Source organism: Homo sapiens, chromosome X (assembly GCF_000001405.40).
Source record: "Homo sapiens chromosome X, GRCh38.p14 Primary Assembly".
In the NCBI taxonomy this organism is placed as follows: domain Eukaryota; kingdom Metazoa; phylum Chordata; class Mammalia; order Primates; family Hominidae; genus Homo; species Homo sapiens.
The window spans coordinates 110,394,357-110,414,728 of record NC_000023.11 but is presented as its reverse complement, the minus strand read 5'-3'; the positions used below and the strand labels follow the sequence as shown (position 1 = coordinate 110,414,728).

The 20,372-nt window shown below is 43.7% G+C and overlaps 2 protein-coding genes across 10 annotated transcripts in view, besides 1 other annotated feature; one reads left to right on the top strand and one right to left on the bottom strand.

Annotated features, from left to right (window-relative positions):
• AMMECR1 (AMMECR nuclear protein 1) overlaps nt 1-20,372 on the top strand; it is a 246,048-nt gene that overhangs the window by 25,505 nt on the left and 200,171 nt on the right. The window lies entirely within an intron of this gene.
• RTL9 (retrotransposon Gag like 9) overlaps nt 1-20,372 on the bottom strand; it is a 97,487-nt gene that overhangs the window by 41,606 nt on the left and 35,509 nt on the right. The window lies entirely within an intron of this gene.
• Nucleotides 6,652-6,701: an enhancer, noted in NCBI's record as "active region_29855". NCBI's record gives its function as "activates an Ori minimal core promoter by ATAC-STARR-seq in GM12878 lymphoblastoid cells {active_cell/tissue: GM12878}" and the evidence as "EXISTENCE:reporter gene assay evidence [ECO:0000049][PMID:35858748]".

Here is a 20,372-nt window from a genome sequence, read left to right as displayed (position 1 = left end):
AATGGAAGGTAGATTGTAGGGCATGAGATAGGTAACAGGGGACCCATTTATCAGCTTGTCACAATAATTCATCAAGATAAGGAAGGTCTAAACGAATGAGATGGCTTCTCCACATACAAATTGTGTCACGTTAGTGAGTGACTTAACCTGTCTGTGCCTCAGCTTCCTCCTCTGTAAAGCAAAAATAACAAGAGTATTGCCCTTGCAGGGCTGCTGGCAGGATTAAATGAAACACTGCATGCAAAGCACCTGGCACAGTGGCTGGTACCTAGAAGACACTCGATACATATCACTTCCCCTTTCCCCTCATCCTTTTTCCTCCACTTCACCCTTTCTTAAAGGCTGGCATGGTATGGAGCATGGAAGTGGCCAAAGCAGACTCTAACCCAGACAGTCTGACTCCAGAGGGCAGTGGAGAAAGTTTGCAAGTGCTATTGTCAGGACAGTTACTTAGAAGGATTGTTTAGCTGAGTTGAGGGCCCCGCTGAGGTTGGAAACTATGACTTTCTGGTGGGACTAACCAACAAAGTGATGGGATTTTCTCCAGCAATGTTCCTCCATCTGGGCATAAGCACAGAGGAGGAAACTGTCAGTTAAATTTATCCAGACTTAGGATTTTGCCTCATGGATGCAGCAGAAAGACACAGGGCAAGGGAATTGGGGATATACGCAAGATTCTGAAAGCAAACAGACCTGACTTCAAATCTCATCTCTGCTGTGGGACTTTGGGTAAGTCACTCAACCTCTCTGAGCCTCAGTCACCTCATTAAAAGGAAAACCACAATAGTATCTTCCTCATAAAGTTATTGTGAGGATAACATGAGATTACTGAAATGATGTCATAAGATGGGTAGTATATGCCTGGCACATACATATTAGTTGTTATTCTTATCATCATCATCATCATGTTCCAGGATGGAGAGGGAAGGTAGTAAGGTGAAAGGGGCTGATGGGATGGAAGAAATGGATGGAGGGGGCTCAAAAAACTGGAGAGCCTCCTGAGGTAAAAAGAAGAGCGTTGAGGCCAGCCAGCAAGGTGTAGATGGTAGGGGGTTCTGACTGATGATGAAGCATGGTAAGGCTAGGATGAGAGTGTGTCCTGTACATGGATCACGGATGTCCAACTCACCCAGAATGATGTCAGGACTTGGGGTGGAGAAGAAGACAATGAGCCAGATGTCGAACTCTTCGTTGAATGTGGGGGTGGGGGGGGGTTGACCAGGAGGGGATGGTTATAAAGAAGCGTCAACGAGGAGAGAAGTAGCCAGATGGCATGAGAAGGAGGAGTTCTTGGCTGAGGACGGAGGACTAACAGCCTGGAAGCAAACAGGGGAAGCTAGAGCACAGACCCCACCTCCCAGCCCTAGGGTGCCTGTAGTGTGGGAGTGTGGACAGTGTCCACTAGAGGGCGCTGGTGGCAAAGCCGTGAGATCCGCCGTGGAGACTCAGGTTTCAGCACTTCCAGGCCCGGAGGTAGACAATAGTGCTCTGTAAAATTTATCCAGGGTGTAGGGGGAATTGTTTACTGCAAGGTGGGGGCTTCCAGAGGGTACTGAGAAGAGTGAGAGAGGGCGGTAGTGGGGAGGTGGATGAGTCGGGGTGGCAGGGATGGGAGCACTGAGCAGTATGAGGATGGTATGGGAGAGGACAGATGACGAGCAGGGAGGCTTAACGTTTGGGCTGTGGCCAAGAACTGGGGGATGTGAAGCCTGGTGGGATTAACTGTCCTCGGAATTCCAAACGGAGCTTTTTTTTCCCTTTACATCTTTTGTTTATTATAAAAGTAGCACATGCTAGTTTCAAACAACTCTAATTATTGCTCAAGGGAAAATCTACCTCTCCTATTCTACTCCCCAGTGTTGACAGTCTGTCTATCCTTCCAGTCTTTTCCTGTATGTGTAACATATAATACCCTTAACAAAAATCAGATCCTACTATACTTACTCTTCTGCAACTTGCTTTTATCACAATACTATATTGGAGATATCATTGCACATCAGTATTTAAAGATCTAGCTTGTCTTTATTTGTGGCTACATCGTCATTGTCATCATTATACTAGTAGTTGGAATAGTAATGTGTAGCAATTATTAAATGCTCTGTGCCAGGTCCTATCTGAATATTTCATATGAATTATCTCATTTACTCTTCACAACTTCATGAATTGTTACTTTTCCCATTTTACAGATGAGAAACGGCACAGAGAGGTTAGAAACTTGGTCGAAGTCACACAGCTCATAAAAGCTAGAGGAGGAAGTCAAACCTAGGCAGTCTAACCAAGGCTCAAACTCTTAATCATTAGCATAGTAATGCTTAGTATGTCATTATTGGGATGTATTATAAATGATTTAACCAGTCCTTCACCGAGGTCATTTAGTTTTTTCAATTTGCTCCTATTTACAAATAATGTTTAAATGAACATCCTTATACATGGAGCATTTTGCAAAGGTAAACTCCTAAGACAGGAATTGCTGACTCAAATAACATTTCCAGTTGCCCTCCAGATGTGCATCAAGAGTGAATGAGTGTGCTGTTTCACCAGATTCTCACAAACCCTGGGTTTTAGTGACCTTTTAAATTTTTGCCAATTTGAGAGGTAAAAGCTGACATCTGAATCATCTCAATATTGTTTTAATTTGCATTTCTTAATTATTACTGATTGGTGTTCCTTTTAATAGGGCATAGGCCCTTTGCCTTTCCTCTGTGAATTGCCTGTTCATTATTCTTTGAGCATTTTTCTAGTGAATTGTTCATTATCTTCTCATTGGTCTACAGAAGCTCGTTTATTCCTTCCTTCAACAAGTATTTATTGAGTACCTACTGTATGCCAGGCACCAGTCTAGCACTAGAAATATAATAGTGAGTAAGCAAAACCTGAGCTTTCATGAAGCTAACATGTAAGCAGAGGAAATAATAGAAAAACAAGTAGCTAAATCATGTCATTGTAAATCATGGTAAGTGCTGTAAAGAAAATAATGCACTTCTTACACTGGAGCTGGTGGAGTATTCTGAATAATAAACCATTGTCTTCCTTCTATGTTGTGACTTTATCCTGGTTTATATGTTGCCTTTCCACTTTGCATGAGATATCTTTCACCATACTCAGGTTGTTAAATTTTTGCATAGTCAAATCTATCATTCTTTTTCTTCATAGATTCTACAGTTTCTCGTTGCTTTGCAAAGACTCCCTACCTCAATATTCTCTTATGCCTTCTTCTAATCTTTTAATGGTTTCTCTTTTTAACATCTAAATCTGACCTAATTGGATTATATTTTGGAATAAGGAGTGAGATAAAGATTCAGCTTTATATTTTGGTGGCAGGCCGGTTGTCACAGTAAATGGCACCATGTATTAAATGGTGCATCCTTTTCCCCAGAAATGGTGAGGCTGAAGCCCAGAGAAGGGACGACTCTTGCCCAGGGTCATGTAGCAAATTAGTGGTGACCAAACTCTTCCCAGATCTTGAGGCTACTGACTTCCATGCCAGTGATACAAAACTGAACTCATCACAGCTCCATTCTCTGGTGCACTTGAACAGTCTTCCCTGACCCACGCCAAGGTTCACTGTCGGAGGCCACAGTATTTTTCCTTTCCAATAGGCCCCCTGACTTCTCTTGCTCAGAGATACAAGTGCAGTGACCCATGGCAGCTCTGCTGCTTATAAATAGGAAGACACTTGCTGATCGCTGCTGAAATACCTCACATTAAGGCAGCTTTGGACACAGAAGACTGGAGGCAGAGAGCAGATAGATTTGCCATTTAGGAACCAAAATAGGAAGTGCCTAATTTTAAATAAAGAGATTTGGCATTGTTTTCATCCAGTTGCTGATGGAGCAGCTGCCATCGTGGAGCTTTTCAAGGAGGCTGCCTTGAATTGCGCCAAAATGATAAGCTTGTGGCTTGGAGGCTGCTGGGACTTGTCCCAAGGCCCCAGCTACGACATATCTAGGATCCAAAAGGTTATCTTGAAACGACAGGTGACTACATCACCACCAACGCAGCTTGACCTGACATCCCATTTCACTTAATGTTTCCCTTCTCCCTCCATGCTTCCCAAAGCTGTGGACATTTTGTCTGTGGAAAGCTGCTACCCCCAGGAGACAAGCATCTGGGAGAGCATCTCCACAGAAAAAGAAAAGTAAAGTGGGAGTTGAAGTCATTCAGGCTACTTGAGACAACAATTTTTAAAAGCTCCTATTTTCCCTCAGTTACCAGGAGATTTTCGGTCAAAGTGTTCAAAGAAAATAGGTGGATAATTACCTCCATTATTTCACTTGGCTTTCTATGGATAGACATCGTCAAAGATATTGGCGAGTTCCTCTTGTCCTACTAATCTTGATGGGTATTTTGTTGATTCACTTCCAAACTCTGAAGTAAATGTACTGCTTATTATAACGAAAAACAACCTTTAAGATGCCCTCTGTCCTCTACCTCTAGGCAGAGTGAGCAGCAGCTTGTACAGTGAAATTTAAGGTCCTTCTTCCCACACTAATAATGTCAGATCGTCCCACCACCAATACAGGGGAGGAAAAACCCTGAGTTCCATTTCCAACTCTGCCATGACTTGCTCTGTGACCCGAGGCGAGTCATCATCCCTGTCGGTGACTCAGCTGGCTACCCATAAAACGAGAAAGTCAGTCTGAGTGGTTTCCCTAACTGGGTTCCTCATCAAAATCACCAGTGATACTGTTAATAATATGCAGATAATTCAAGTCCTCATCTCGGACTTACTGAATCAGACTCTGAGGATTAGGAGCCACACTGCATCTGTATTTCAACAGCATTCCTGGTAATTCCATTGTACAGCCAGGTTTGGGATCTAGTGAACCAGATGACCTCAGGGTCCCTTCTGCTCCTGACAACAGGTGGTTCAATACCTCCCTCTGTACTTATGTACCATATCTCTAAGTGAGGTGCTGCCCCCTGCCCTTCTTGCTAAGTGGGAGCCCATTCTCTTATCAGGAGCCCTGAAGGCTTTAGCCATTCCTTTGTCAGATATTTAGCAGTTACCTTTGAGGACAGGACCCAGAAGGAAGGAGTACACGTATTATTGATGGGATCAGGGGAGTGAAAAAAAAAAAACAGCAGCAGCAACAACAGAAAAATGGGGGAGCTGGATCTGCCTGAAGGCCAAGACAGCCTGAGATCCTAATGGGGGCATGGAGGGCATTGACAGATTATACGTACAATACTCGAGCCTCATTTTCCCTGGTATCCTCTCTGTCTTGGCCAGACAAAACAATGCAAAGAGGTACAGCTAAGCTGGAAAACAGCCCTCTTTTTAGGTAGTGAGGTCTTTGGGCCCCTACGATTGATACCAGCAAGTGAGAATGTAAACACAACTCTCTTCACCACTGGGACCATCTGACGTCAGTCCCTTGGCTCCAGCATGTCTCAAGATAAGAGGACTGTAGGAAGCCCTGGGCCTTGACATTAGGACGCTCTAGCTTTGAGGCAAACTCTGAACTATGGTTTCTCTTCTGATAACTGGGATCCTGCCTTCTTTTGGTGATCAAAAGTCCCCGTCTCAAAAAAAAAAGTCCCCATCTCCTGCCAGTTTTATATACCCCGACTATGCTGACCTACATGCCTGACTCCAGCTGTGTGCTTGCATCCACATTCATTATTCATTATTTATAAGCACCTCAGTTAATTAGGCCAAACGGAAGCAAAACACATGGTCCTGGCCCTCACGAAGCCATCAGGCTAGCACAGTGGTGTTCAACCTTATCAGACTTAACATCCTCTCTTTTATAATAAATCTGCTTTTGCTTCACCCCTTTACTATCCTGAAATTAAATTTCTAGGTACTATAACCTACCTACACGCATAAGTTCAAAAAGATAGCTATATGTCCTGCCACATAAAGAGAAAATAAAGCAATACATAATAAAACACTATGTATTTAACTCTGTAAATGCTCACACAGGACTACATTGAATGATTAAATGAAGTAGTCAGAAGCTTGTGCCTTTATATAGAATCCCCATGAATGCAACAGTTATGGACACAAACTGATATGTTATATTGATTAATTCCAAAAGCAACATCACAATTGTTGACATGATTTCCTGAAATGGTGAATGAGTCTGTGTGATCCTCTGTAACCATGTAATCTTCCATATCTTTACAGAATAGTTGATTAAAACTGTGGGGTCGGGGCAGGGGAAGCAAAACCCTTTATGCTTAGGTATAAAACATTTATAGTAAAAGTTTAGATAATTAGAAAAGCAGTTTTCAGCTCCATGGAAGTCCAGCAGAACATTCAAAAATTATTCGGGATGCTAGACTATTTTTCATTTTGCAAGTCTGTCGTGGGCGTTGGAGAACATCTAGCATCCCCATTTCCAGTCCTCTGAATACCCTCTTGCATTTTCCAAAAGTCCCCTAGGGGGCAGTATTGTCTCAGTTGAGAGCCACCAGTCTAGTCATTCAGTTTCTGTGGAACTGGGATTTTGTCTGGTTCTTCCCAGGCTCCCAACTCCTTCACCCTTGCCTCCAAGGACTAGAGTCCCATCCTTGCTACTAGCACCTGGCAGGACTCCTAAGCCTCACCTGCTCCTGCTCAGTTCAGCTAGGCTGGGCAGGACTTCTGCTTTCACCAAAGCCAAGTGCTTCTCTAAATTGATACCTGTTGTTGCCACTCTCTTTGGGTGCCCCACTAAACTCAGCTGCAGTTGAGTTTCCTGCTCCATCCCAACAGGGTGCATTTTGCGGCATATGCCAGCTCTTCCACTCTGAACTTCCAATCTCCAGCCCCCTGACACTATGATCACCCACAGACCCAGGCCGTTGATAGTCAGTAGAACAGGTCCAACTACAGCAAGGTTTGAACTTGTGCCTCACCAGAACCCTGTGGCCTTTTGCCTTCAGCTAGATCCCCTTCTGATATTGAAACAGGAAAGAATTATCTTCTGCAAATAGAAAGAAAATGAGAGTCAGACCTTCTGTTAGGGCCCTCTTCTACCAGCCTTTAAATAGTTTTCTTGTCAGCCTCACACAGATAGCCCCAAACCATTTGAGAAGCCAGCACAGCTCCCTGCAAAGCACTGTAGCAAAAGGACTATGTACTCTGGAATCAGATGGACCTGAGTTCAAGTCCAGGGTCTATCTCATACTGCTTAAAGACAAAGAAATTCACTTAGACTCTCTGAGCTGCAGTTTGCTCACCTGGAAAAATGGCAACAATAATGAATGTCTGGAAAATGCTTAGCACAGTACCTGCCACATAGTAATCTGCTAGTAAATGGTTGTTATTTGTATTATTCTAGCAATCACATGGTATGTGCTGAAAAGTGGCTTCTGCTGACCTTACCTGTCCTATCCTATATATTTGCACTGTATCTTCTAGACCAAGGCAGAGTTTCCTGTGAGGCTCACTAGGATGAATCTGCATCCTGGGTTGAAGTTCCAACAGTGAGAAATACCAAGCTGGTAAAATCTCAAGGACTCTCTTCACCCAGCCATTGAGAATGTATTTTTATTTTTTCTATTCTGTCTCATTCCACAAAGAAAATCTTTTATGTAGCATTGAGCAAACCAGGATGGGGAAGCAGAATTAACTAGAAACTATACTTAAACAGGTTCCCACTTTCCTATAAAATTCAAGAATTGTCTGCAAAGGTGACTGGTGAAGTTGGCGGCATTGTTAATCACCTAAAGCAGCGTTTGCGCAATACCAGAGCTTTCCGAGGAAAAGGAGAAAACACAATCAATCATCCAGGTGCCAAAGAAGGCATTCAGCTCCTGTGCAGAGATGATATTAAAAAGTTACCTCAGTGCAAGCAACTAGATTAAGACAACAGACATCTTGAAGGTTCTAACCTGTTTGCTTAGCATTAAGAAATGGTGTTGAACAACCCAAAAACTATTGCATGAAACATCCACACATTCATCAATCAGTCAATATTTATGGAGCACACACTACATGCCAGGCACTATGAGAACTATAGAAAGCAGAGGAGCATAAGACTTTCCAGAACCAAAAAGAGGAATGCTTTTACACTGTTGGTGGGTGTGTAAATTAGTTCAAATATCGTGGAAGACACTGGAGATTCTTCAAGGATCTAGAACTAGAAATACCATTTGACCCAGCGATCCCATTACTGGGCATATACACAAAGGATTACAAATCATGCTGCTATAAAGACACATGCCCACCTATGTTTATTGCGGCACTATTCACAATAGCAAAGACTTGGAACCAACCCAAATGTCCATCAATGATAGACTGGATAAAGAAAATGTGGCACACATACACCATGGAATATTATGCAGCCATAAAAAAGAATGAGTTCACGTCCTTTGCAGGGACATGGATGAAGCTGGAAACCATCATTCTCAGCAAACTATCGCAAGATCAGAAAACCAAACACCGCATGTCCTCACTCATAAGTGGGAGTTGAACAATGAGAACACATGGAAGCAGAGAGGGGAACATCACACACCGGGGCCTGTGGGGCGTGGGGGGCTAGGGGAGGGATAGCATTAGGAGAAATACCTAATGTAGGTGACGGGTAGATGGGTGCAGCAAACCACCATGGCACTTGTATACCTAAGTAACCAAACTGCAAGTTCTGCACATGTAACACAGAACTTGAAGAAAAAAAAAAAACCACTTTCCAGAACCTTCCTTGAAGAACTTACTATCCAATTTGGGGAGTCGGGGGTGGAGGTGGAGAGAAAAGAACAAATCTCTAAACAAAGCAATAGAAAGCCCTTCAGCTAGGGTTTTCAGAGTAGGCTAACATCCTTTTCATTGCTGTAATTACAGTCTCATAAAATTAAGCAGACCAGATGTTCTGTGATTTGGTAAAAGAGAAAATATAGTCAAGCTTATTAAAGAGACTGTTTGACTTTACAAGGACTTGCACACCATGGTTCAGAACCAGGTGTTGGTGTCAGGTGGATCTGCGTTTAAGTTCTGGCTCCTCCACTTACTAGCTGGGTGACCTTGCCCAGGTTGTCTAACTTCTTTGGGCCCGTTTCCTCCTATGGAAATTGAGGGTAATAGCAATACCTTTTTGGAAGGATCATAGTGAAGATTAATAGAGATACCTTATATAAAACACTTAGCATAGAGCCTACCACACAGTTAATGTTCCCTTAAAAAGCAGCTTATTATAATTATTAAAAGAGAGAGAATGACTATTGCTAGCATTTGCCAAGGACATCTGGAAACTCTGAAAGAAAATTTCAGCCTCTTCTATTAGCAGTGGGGACAGGTTTCCCTCCCTTCTGGAGCACTAACATTCTTGGAGAAACAGCCAGCTGGATATGGTAAGATGGTGAGGTAAACAAAGTGTTTCTCCAAAAGTTCCATACCTTCTCCTCCCAGGTTAATTTGGCTTTTACGCTGCTACCCATTTGCTCAGAAGGGGCTCCTTTCAGCCATTGAGGCCCTCTCTGGGAGCTCTTGGTTATCCAATTTTAATGTTCCCCTCTTTACAAGCTCCCTTTGCAATTTGGCATTCTACATCTTCTTCCCTGAGGGATAACAACACAAGAAAGGATAGAAAAATTGCAACGTGACCTTTTTAAAAAGAATGACCTGTATGCAAAATCCCAACAGCACCTCTTAGAAAATACATTTACACAAAACCCCATGAAAGGCTCTGACTCATGCTTGGGGGGGGGGGGGACACAACAAGCACACCTGAATATATTTTTCGAATTTAACTGACAAAAGCGTATCTCTGAATCTCCATCACAGTATGTATAGTTTCCACCCCAAAAGTAAACACTTTAGGCTATTAGGAGAAATGACAATGGCCGTTTCAACAGAATGCGGATGACAGAATTTGCTTCCGAAAATGCTACTATGTGTATTTTCTTGTTTCCTGGTTATTAATATAACACATTTTGCCTCTGAGTGAAATGTTTTTACTTATGCCAAGAAAAATCGTGAGTTACAGGAAGTCTAACAGGCTTAATTAGTGAGTTTAACTTAATCCGGTGATTTTCAGCAACCCTGACAGAGTCAGGTTCACTCCCTGAATTTAATGGGAAGTGGTCAGAAATGGCCTTTAGCAACCTTATGAGAGAAAAGGCACATGATGCGCACAAACAAGGCCGGTTCTCCCAAGGTAAAAATAATAGGCTGAGGTACCGTAATTATCAACAGTGGTTTTTGTATACAGGTGCCTACTGCATGTGTTACCTGTTGCTTTCAGCTTTCGTAATTACAGTTTCTTATGATCAGACAGTGCTATTTTCCCTTCCTATTACCAACCAGCATGCTCAGGTGAAAGTTGTTCATGCCCCTGGAGTTTGTCCTGCGAGTGTATTTTTAAAGGCAAAGCTTCTTAGCCCAGCCAAATGAAACTGATCGGAAAAGCACCATAGAAACCAGAGGCCTATTATGTGTAATAGCTGGGCTCTTTGCAGCCCTATCCTAAGCACTAGGCCACAATTTCGGAAGGAAAGAACCTGTAAAGACTTCAGAAGACAGCAATGAAGACGATTAAGGGATTGGAAAAGAGGATCTAGGGGAAAAGGTTAAAGGTATTAGGATTATAAGGACGATTTAGCCTCAAGAGGAAAAAAAATGAAGGAGCCTGACCAACTGTTCTTCCTCGCTATTGATGGCACAGAATAAACGAATGGTAGCATGACGTACTTTAGTTTAGATGTAAGAAAGAACATGACAACAAGTCTCCGGAATCACTAAAGACTGTTCGTTCTTCATTCCTAAAACATTAGTCGAGCTTCCACCCCATGCTGGACTGTGTGCTGAGCACTGGAGAAGAAGTTCACAGGCTAATGAGGGAGACATGCCAAACAGATCATTATAAGACAGTGGGAGGCTTAGTATAATTGAAGGAATTCAGAATGCTTTGGACTTTTAAAAGGCGATTGGGTGTATACAGCACATATATATCACCTCCAGTGGGGTCTGAGGCAGTACCCAGTAATCAAGTACATTGATATTTCTGGAGCAAAAACACATGAATATTCACACAGGGTGTGAAAAATAAAGACTATAAATAACCTCATGTCAGTTCAAGTTGCGCTGCCAAATGAGTTTGTCATAAACGTACAAAGGCTCTCAGTTTCCAGAGCTTTTGGGGTTTTGGAATGATAGCTATGAGGCTATGAGTCTGGGTAAGGGGAGTCTGGCCAAGCACCAAGACCTGGGAATGACAGGGAGCTTCAGAATGTGGGCAGAGCCTGTGTCTCTAATGTGCCCCAATTCTGCTGCCCTGGTATCATGGACGTGTTTGGAGAAGGATCCGGGCATGTGCATGTGTGTGCGCGCATGCGTGTGTGTGTGTCTGTCTGTCTGTCTGTGTGTGTCTGTGTATACAGCAGGAGGAAGCTCCTTGCTGCTCCTCAGGTCAAGTCCACTTTCAGTGGCTCCTAGCAACATACTTTGAAGGAATGAGGTCTTTATTAACCAAATAATCAGTAAATGGGTTTTGTTATTGTTTTCAAATTATTTAGCTCCATAGTACCTATGAATATGCCCACAAATTTTGTAGAATAAGCATCCTCTGTGAGGTTTGCAATGTGTGGTAGAATCCCTGGGGCTGGGGGGTGTCACATCTCTGGCCTTCCTTTTTCAGCTGTGTTCTGTGAAGAACAGGGGCAGGGAAAGCCTGGCCTCTCAACTCCCTCTCTCATACCTACTCCCAAGGATGGCAGGGCCTGCCTAGCAAGTGATAAAGAAAGCTGAAAAGCCTACAGGGAGGGGCACCTGAGCTTCTGCTTATCTGGATTGGGGAACACCCAATTATCCTCTACCAGCCAAGCAGCTTCACGTAGGGGCTAACCTCCCTTAAAGGGGAACACCCAGTGAACCCTGTCACACCCTCAGAAGTTGTTTGCTTCCTGAAGAAAAGGGGGCAGTCCTTGAGTTCATTCTTCTGTTCCTAATCATGAAAGGAGACACCCCCCTTTCAGGACCTATTTTCTTTTGTCACTTACCCCCAACCATCACCTACACCTAAGCTCAAAAAATAACTAAAGCCCTCTTTTTGTCTTTAGACCTCCCTCCAAAAGCATGTCCTTCTCTCTGGACTGGTCCTCCTCTCCACCCTCTGGGAATCCAAGCCCACATCATTTCAGGATGAGATCAGCCTCCAGCCACTCCCTCTGAGGCCTGGCTTCCCAACCTTGGTGATTCCAAAGCACACATCTGTTGCAACACACAGGGCTCGCCCCTAGGCAAAATGGAGCCGGGGACACAGCTCTCAGTCAGCTGAGCTCCCACACTCACATACCCCATCCATGCTAGCACAGCCTTCCTCTTCCGTGGGGAGTAGGCTCCCTGGAACCCTTCCGTCTCCTCTCCCTGACAGGAAAGGCTCTGATCAAGGAATTTGCACTCAGATATAAATAATAACCCTGCCTTACCAAGGCAACCCTGACAGACAAACCTTGCAATTTGACTCAAAGGAATTGTATGCCGACCATGACGGTTTCTGGCATCACTCATAGGCAAAAAACAAATATTTATAGGCAAGGTGAGCCTTCTTCATGCTCATCAGATTATGATGTAGGGCTGCCAAGGCAGCTCTTGTCTTCTTGATCTAAGATAGACCATAGCAACATTCCTCAGAGCAAGGGACTCTGTTTCACTCTGTTTTCCGATTCAAATCAGGTCATGCAGTTTGATATCAAGAGAGATTATCTGAAATTGGGATTGACCTGGAAAGTGTGGGACAGAGGGTTGCCAAAGGTTGAGCGTACTGGTGGGAGGGAGTTGGGAAAGGAAAGGGAGACTTTGAAGAAAGAGACTTGTTGGTGAGAAGAGGAAAAGAGAAACAAGGAAGCGAAGAGAGACCTGGATGGTTATGGGGGTGAGGCAGAAGACTACTAAAAATTGATTTAAGGGAACAGTTAACATTTTTACATGCTTATTTTGTACTGGACACCGTAAGTGTGTTATCTCATGTCATCCTCACAACACGTCTAGGAGATGAGAACTATTATTAGATCCATTTTACAGGGGAGGAAACGAAGGCTCACTGAGATTAACTGTGGGAAATCATGCAATCAGTGAATGGCAGAGCCAAGATTCAAATGCTTATTGATCTGACTCCAGGGCCCTCAGCCATCTGAGAAAGGGGCCAAACACCCTTTGGTTGTAGGAGAAGCCTCCATGGTGTATCTTGATAGAGGCCCCCAGACAACCCCTTCCCCTTACCACAACACAGAAACACCTACATGCCTCCCGTGGGAGCTACCTGCTCCTAAGCTAAAGATTGCTTTCTGGGAAGGCACCAATAAATATAATATGTGCTCTGGAAAAGGTTAGGTTAAGGCAGTTTACCTTCAGAAAACACAAACCAGAGGTCAAGGTCTTAGAGGAGTTAGGAAGGAGAAGCTCTCAGCAGGATGGGCTGCCTGTAGGAGCCATAGTAGGTGTTGCAGCATGTAGGTGGCACTGTAGTACTGAGTCCCCGAGACACACTGGGAGTCTGAAGACACTAAAGACAAACTTGGCTTATTTCACCATTTTGCCCAGAGCTGACTCTGCTCACCATACACACAAGCGAGGGAAGAGTGCACAGTGCAAGGGAGCTGATGCAGGTATTGGAGCCTACGTTCAAATCCTAGCTTTGCAGCCTACTTGCTATGTATCTTTGTTACTCCTCTGAATGTGGCAAGTCACTGGTCTGAATTTTCCACTTTCATCTGTAAAACGAGGATGAAAATAAAAACATCGACTTGAGACGTGAGATTGTTTGTGTAAATGGTTCAGCACAATGTCTGGCACTTAAAAGAAATTCATTAAATATCATGTCCACCTACCCTGCTCTCACCACCTCTTGGAAGAAAAGGGAGTCCAAATTTAAAAGCCCTGGAAGTAGCCTCTAAAGATGACGAAGAACTGGGAGCATTCATTGATTCATTTACCACATAAGCCCTGAATCCCTCTTTTGTTCCCTAGAGACTCAGACATAAATAAAATAGTCCCTGTTCTCAAGGGGCTCACATTCAAGTGGGCAAAGATCCAACAAACTCTTGCCATAAAATATAAAACATTATAATAGAGATAAATTCAGGAGGGCCATGAGGGTACCTAAGGGCACTGAGAAAGCTTCACAGAGAAAATATTTGCGAGACAAGCAGCAATTGTTAGGCAGACAAGGAAAGAGAGTGTATTCCAAGTAAAGGGAATAGCATATGTTAAGGAACAAAACATGACAGATTTAAGTGGAGCTGGAACATCAGTTCAGAATGTAGTGAGGACTGGTGAGAGATTACACTGTAGGAGGAGTCAGAAGAGGTAGGGTATTACTGAGCGACACTTCTGAGCAGAGAAAAGATGCTATTCAAAATTTATGATAACCAATATGGCATGGGCATTAACCAGTTAGAAAGGACTCAGAACAATACGGAAAGCCATATTGGGGCCTCTAAGGAAGGGATTCCTTATATTTAGAATAGTTTTGGCAACTGAAGTGAATATAGGTAGATAAATAATGGATTGGCTATCACTGAGGCTTCCATGTTGTTTGAACATTTAGCCTGGCAGGAACAGTAATATCTGGCATACAAGATATCTACTCAGTGGCACATAATACTATTTTGCAGAAACAATTTTAGAAATTGCACCCAAATGTGTGTGTAAGAGATTATTTACTGCGCTGCCAAAACTTGGGTATCTATTCAGTAGAATGTCAGGGAGGAAGATTACAGCATCTCAGTAGTCCTCTAAGCACACAGAGCACAGCCACACACATAACATGTCCCTAATCAATGTTGAATTGCTATAATGAAGTCGGTTGAATTGAATGTCTTTCCGTTGAAATGTGATCCCTGTCAATTTCTTTAAAATGTTGTATCTCATAATTCTAATTAACTCACCTCTTCCCCTTATCTTATTCATTGCCTTCGCTAATAATGTCAGATATTCTTAGGATAGAGAAGGAACATTTTTTAATTATCTTCGAACTCCATAGAACTCCCTCTTAGTTAATTATCTTCTTATTCTCCCTGACTCATCCATGGTCATCCCACACTATAGTCTTATGCTAGCATGGGTTTTATTGTCTGACCTGTTGTTTTTCTGAGCCTCCCAAGTGAGAGAATCAGTAATGCAGGCTAGCCGCACAATGAGATTATATTAATCATTTATTTGTAAGTGAACCAGGTCGCCTTTCACATCAGCTCTCCTAACATGTCAATTTGTATCACATCTAATATGAGACAGCCCGAAAAAATCAGTTCCATCTAAGTAAGGAACTGTGAACAAATCTTTTTAAGAAAATTAGTAAGAACAAAAATGATTTTTTCACTCCAGTTTAGTCTTAATCAAAGCAGTGGGACCAGGGTCATCTCCACCTGCTGTGAGCGCAAATTCAACATTGTGTTTGCAGGAAGTGAGACCACAGGGTTTAGGCTTTGGAGCCAGACCAGCGTAGGTTTAAATTCCAGTTTTACCACTTGCTCACTGTGGACCTTAGGTAAGTTTTTAAAATTCACTGAGCCTAGGCTTCTGCATTTCTAAGTTTGGGGTTGAATGTGCCTACCTTGAAGGGTTGTTCTGAGAATTAAAAGTAAGGTACAGAAAGTGGAATGTGCTTAGGAGAGTGCCTGGCAGTGAGTAGACACTCATTATGTGATACACTGTATTATATTATTGTTGTTATTGTGAGTCCATTGTAAACCAGAAAGAACAAGAGACCATGAGTCAGGAGCCTGAGTTCTGTTCTTAGCTGTACCACTAATGAGGCAGAGACATTCACTGAGAAACGGCTAATAGGTAACATGAGTTCCACCACTCTCCTAGTCAACATATATGGCAGGTATCAATAATCAGTCATAGCATTTTTTTCCTAATGAGCAAAAACATAGATTTAGAATCATTCTCAGCACGGAATTCCAAACAGCCTCTACTGCTCAATTAAAGTCGGCAAATGAAATGAAACTTATTTGCCTTCCCTAGATTAAATGGTCTTAGATGTATCTTTTAGTGTTAACATACTATGGATCTATGGAAGAAATCCTCTCTGATAATGTTTACAACCCAACTATGAGGTGAAGTGAAGGGTTCAAGGTTCAGAGAGTGACTTCCAATATAATGAGTCGGAAACAAATAATTCAACTTGGTGGTGTGATACAGTTAAGATCTAACTGGATTTATGCCTGTTTCTTCTGCTGTGTCCTAGTTCTATGACCTTGGGCAAGTCACTAACCTCTCTGAGCCCCAGTTTCATCATTTGTAAAAACAGACAAAAGATGATTTTGTAAGATGTTAACATCAGGAGAAACTGAGTGAAGGATGCATAGGGATTCTCTGTACTCTCTTTTCAACTGTCCTGTAAATCTAAAAGTATTCTAAGATTTAAAAATTTATTTTTTAATGGGAAGAAGGGCATCTGCCTTGAGGAGTTGTGGAGAGTAAATGAAATAAGGTGTGGGAAAGCACATAAATAGTTTGATGTCTTTCTTTTCCCCCTCCCAGCCATCTCCCTTCATCTACACATTCAAACGTGTAGAACACCTGAGGAATCAGGAGATATGTTTTCTGGATTGTGGTGCCAGCGGGTTCACCTGCCTGACAGCACTGCAGTTCAGAGCCTGGCTGCCAAGCTGAAACCCTGCAGGCAAGAAGGTTGGGTTTACACAGTCCTGGGAGCCAATGAATGCATCACACATTGCCAGAAAGCAAAATGGCCGGCCTGCCTTTGTTGGAGTCAGCCTATGCGTGGGAGGAGGAGGGATGGAGCATGCAGGAGGAAGTGAAATAAGAGGACTGGGCTAGAATCTGGATGCTAAGACTTGCAGGTAGTCAAGGAAGCGGGTTCGTGCTCCACCCACACCCTTTTCCTTAAGGGTCTTTCTTGTCAGCTTTAGAATCATTTTGTTGAGTAAATGCACTGTTTCCAAATAGACCCTGACATATCCAAATAAGTTAGTTGGGGGTGGCAGGGAGGAGGAGATCTGTGCTGTCCCCAGGCCTGTTTGCCCCCCCAAGTCCATTACTTCCTTTTCACATCTCTGCTCTTGTAGCAGGGAAGCTGATGGGGCAGGTTGGCCTTTGCAGGCTGTTCCCCAGGCTCTGATGGGTTTGGCCAATGGAAGGCACTGTTAGGATATTAGAAAGCAAAAGGGAGAGAGAAACCAGGGTATTTCTCTCCCTCCCCCTCTGCTTCATGTGGTGTCCCCAGCAGTGACTGTGTCTCTTTGTGGCTCTGGCACTGCTGACCAGGTTACTGTGGCTCAAGTTTCTACTAAGTGTCCCAGCCCTGAGGTTCTAGCCAAGGAATGGTAGCAGCTCCCTGCTGTGACTAATCTCTAGGTTGCTTCATTGTCCTCTGCTTGGCATCACAGCTTTTCCATCACCTGTGTGATCAATTCCCTGCACTGAATCCCTTTTCCCTTAAATAAATACTCAGTGATTTCTATTTTCCTGGTTGGACTCAGACTGATCAGTCATCCACTAGCCAACAGCAATGATTCCTTCTTTCCACTAGCCAGTTTGTATTTTGGAATACAAGGCTCTGAGAGACTTACTTGGAAAATGTGGGTGGGATATCAGGGGAGTGGAAGAGGTCTAGAGAATTAGACATGGAGATCAAGCTCAGGAGAGCCAAGCATCTAAGAGTAAGTCTTTGGAACAAGAAGGAGGCAGGAACAGAAAAGCAGTTAAGCTAGTCCTTCTGCTTCTCACATTTGCCCTGTCCCAGACTGTGGCTGCTCTGGGAGTCATCTGCTTTGGCAGAGAGCAAGTCCAAGCCTAGAAAGACAGGAGAAATGTGGGCTCCGGAGTCAGCTCCAGGAACATGGAAAAAAAGAAGAGAAAAACTCACGGGTGTGGCCAGCCTGCCTGTAGGTGATTGTTGCAATCCAGTCAGATGAGGAAAACAAACATAGGAGTCCAACTGATCCCATCAATCAGGCTGTCCTGATGGGCTAAGTGCAATGACTTCAACAGCAACAGAAAACACACGGTACTGTCCCCAGGACACGAGTCCCTTCATTTAATTTCCTTGCAAACTGTATTTGGGGCTGTATAGACCCAGCCACAGTGCTTGAGTCCCATTTATCAGCCACTAATTGACTGTGTGACCTTGTACAAGGCACTTAATAGCTGTGTGTCGCCATTCTTCTTTGTAAAACAGGGAGAGGGGAATCTGGCCCCCTGCTTACCTAAAAGGGCACATTGTGAGTACCCAATACACATCAAACTGTAATTCCAGCTCTGAGGAGGTGCAAGAGCAGATGCCTGAGAAATGCTTCCTGTTGGGGACTGGGAAAGAAAGTAGAATGGAGGAACTCCAGTGTAGTGCTCAAGAGCATGGTTTGAAGGGAATTATTGTTAGTTTGGCGATGGGGGGGATAATAATTTCGTCATTGTATATAAAAATATCCCTATTTTTGAGTTGCATAATGAAACATGTGGGGTAAAGCATAAGAGGGAAAAAGAAAGAGAGATAGGTAAAGCTAACATGGAAAATCATGATAGATGTTGAATCTGGGTGATGGATACTTGGGGGTTCATTATACTATATTTTTTACTTTTGTGTATGTGTTTGAAAATTTCCATAATAATTTTTTTCAAGCATGTATTTTAGAGTCAGACCAGGGTTCAGCCCCATTCATTCGGGCAACAAATAGGTATGACTAATACTGGATGCCAGGCCCTGAGCTTTGACTCAGTGGTGGTGGGTGGACAGGGCACAAAACAGGTCAGGTCAGGATTCCAAAGTGAAGAAAAAGCATTTAGATATTAGATAATCAGGCAAAAATTGAAAAGTACCCACTTCACCTCTCTATGTTCTTTGTAAAGTACTTTTCTGCTTGAAAGGGCAGAGTTTTGTCTGATAAGTTCTTCCATAAGCCCTGGAGGCAAGAACCACCCCCAGCCTAGAAGGACACTGGAGCTGTCTTTTTCTGGCCTCCAGTAGCAGCCAGCAGCTAGGCAGGCCTGGAGCCCTCCATGTTGGAGATCACTGACTGCTGGTGTGGGCTGCATTACCAGTGCCCTGGGCAACTCATGTAGGTCCCCCATCCTCATTCCCAGGAGATTTCAGGGCCTCCTTAGGTCACAAGCAAATTGCCATCTCACTCCCTCCCCTGTCTCTCCCCTTCAAACACGCACAGGATTAGGATTATGTAATTGAAATAGAAAAAAAAGAAAAAGAAAAAAGGTTGTCTCAAAAGTTAGACCTGTATTTCAGTCCCGGCTTTACCACTTACTATCAATGTGACTTTGAGCAAGTCACCTCCAGGCTCTGAGCTTTTGTATCCTCTTCTGTTAAATCGTGACAAAATGGTACTTCCCTTGTAGGATTACATGAGGATTACCAAGGAAATGCAGGCAAAGTACTTAGCACAGTGCCAGGTAGGCGGTATGCCCTCCAAAATCTGGGCACTGCTATTGTTCAGGGAGAGGAGAGGAAACAGTCTAGCCTCTGCCCTGGTGAAGAGGGAAAAAGACATGAGTTGAGGTCTGGGAGTCACAGCCTGGTGATGAAGCATGCAATGGTCCTCTTTAATGTGGGCTTTGAGACAAAAGATCAGATTCATCTCCCCACTAGGTTAGGGATGGCAGAAGTGGAGACCCTCTGGTGTGGGGGCACCCTCGGAATTTAGAGGACACCCAAAAAGGAAAGCCAGTTCTGAGCCCATTGCCAAAAGGTTTGGCTTCCCACAAAGCAGCCCCTGAAACAACCTACATACACTCCCCACCTTCCATGACAAATGCTTTGCCCACATCCTGGCAGTTTATCTAGAAGCAGCCCTGAAGCTAAGCAGGTTCTTTGGCCCTGTAACAGTTCCAGATCCCAAAGCTCCAGCTGCTAGCTCAGGATCTGGGAGTATAAGCCTAGGCTAGTATAAGCCTGAGGCTGGCACACCACAGGGTGAGTCACACACAGCCCCACTGTTCCCCATATGCTGACTGGACATATAGAGGGATGGCCTCCTCTTCCTGGAGGCCTAGTAGAATGTCACAGAAGCTAGTGCTGCAACTTACAGATTCCATTTTCCAGTTGAAGAGGCAGAAGCACGGAGAGGTTAAGTGAGTCATCCACCAGGAGCAGATGCATGTGCAAAAGCAGGCAAGGGGCTCTAGGCCTCCTCGTCCTCCAACCAGCCTTCTTGCCCTTTGCTCTCTGCTGTCTCTGAGTACAGTAAGTCCTCACTGAACGTCCTTGACAGGTTCTTGGGAACTGGACTTTAAGTGAAACAACGAATAACAAAACTAATTTTACTGTAGGCTAATTGATATAAACAAGAGTTAAGTACCCACAGCATATTTCTGGTCACAAAAATATCACCAAACTTCTAAATAAAGATCCAAATACCAGCCTGGGCAACATGGTGAAACCCTGTCTCTACTAAAAATACAAAAATTTAGCCAGGCATGGTGGCACACGTCTGTAGTCACAGCTACTCAGGAGGCTGAGGTGGGAGGA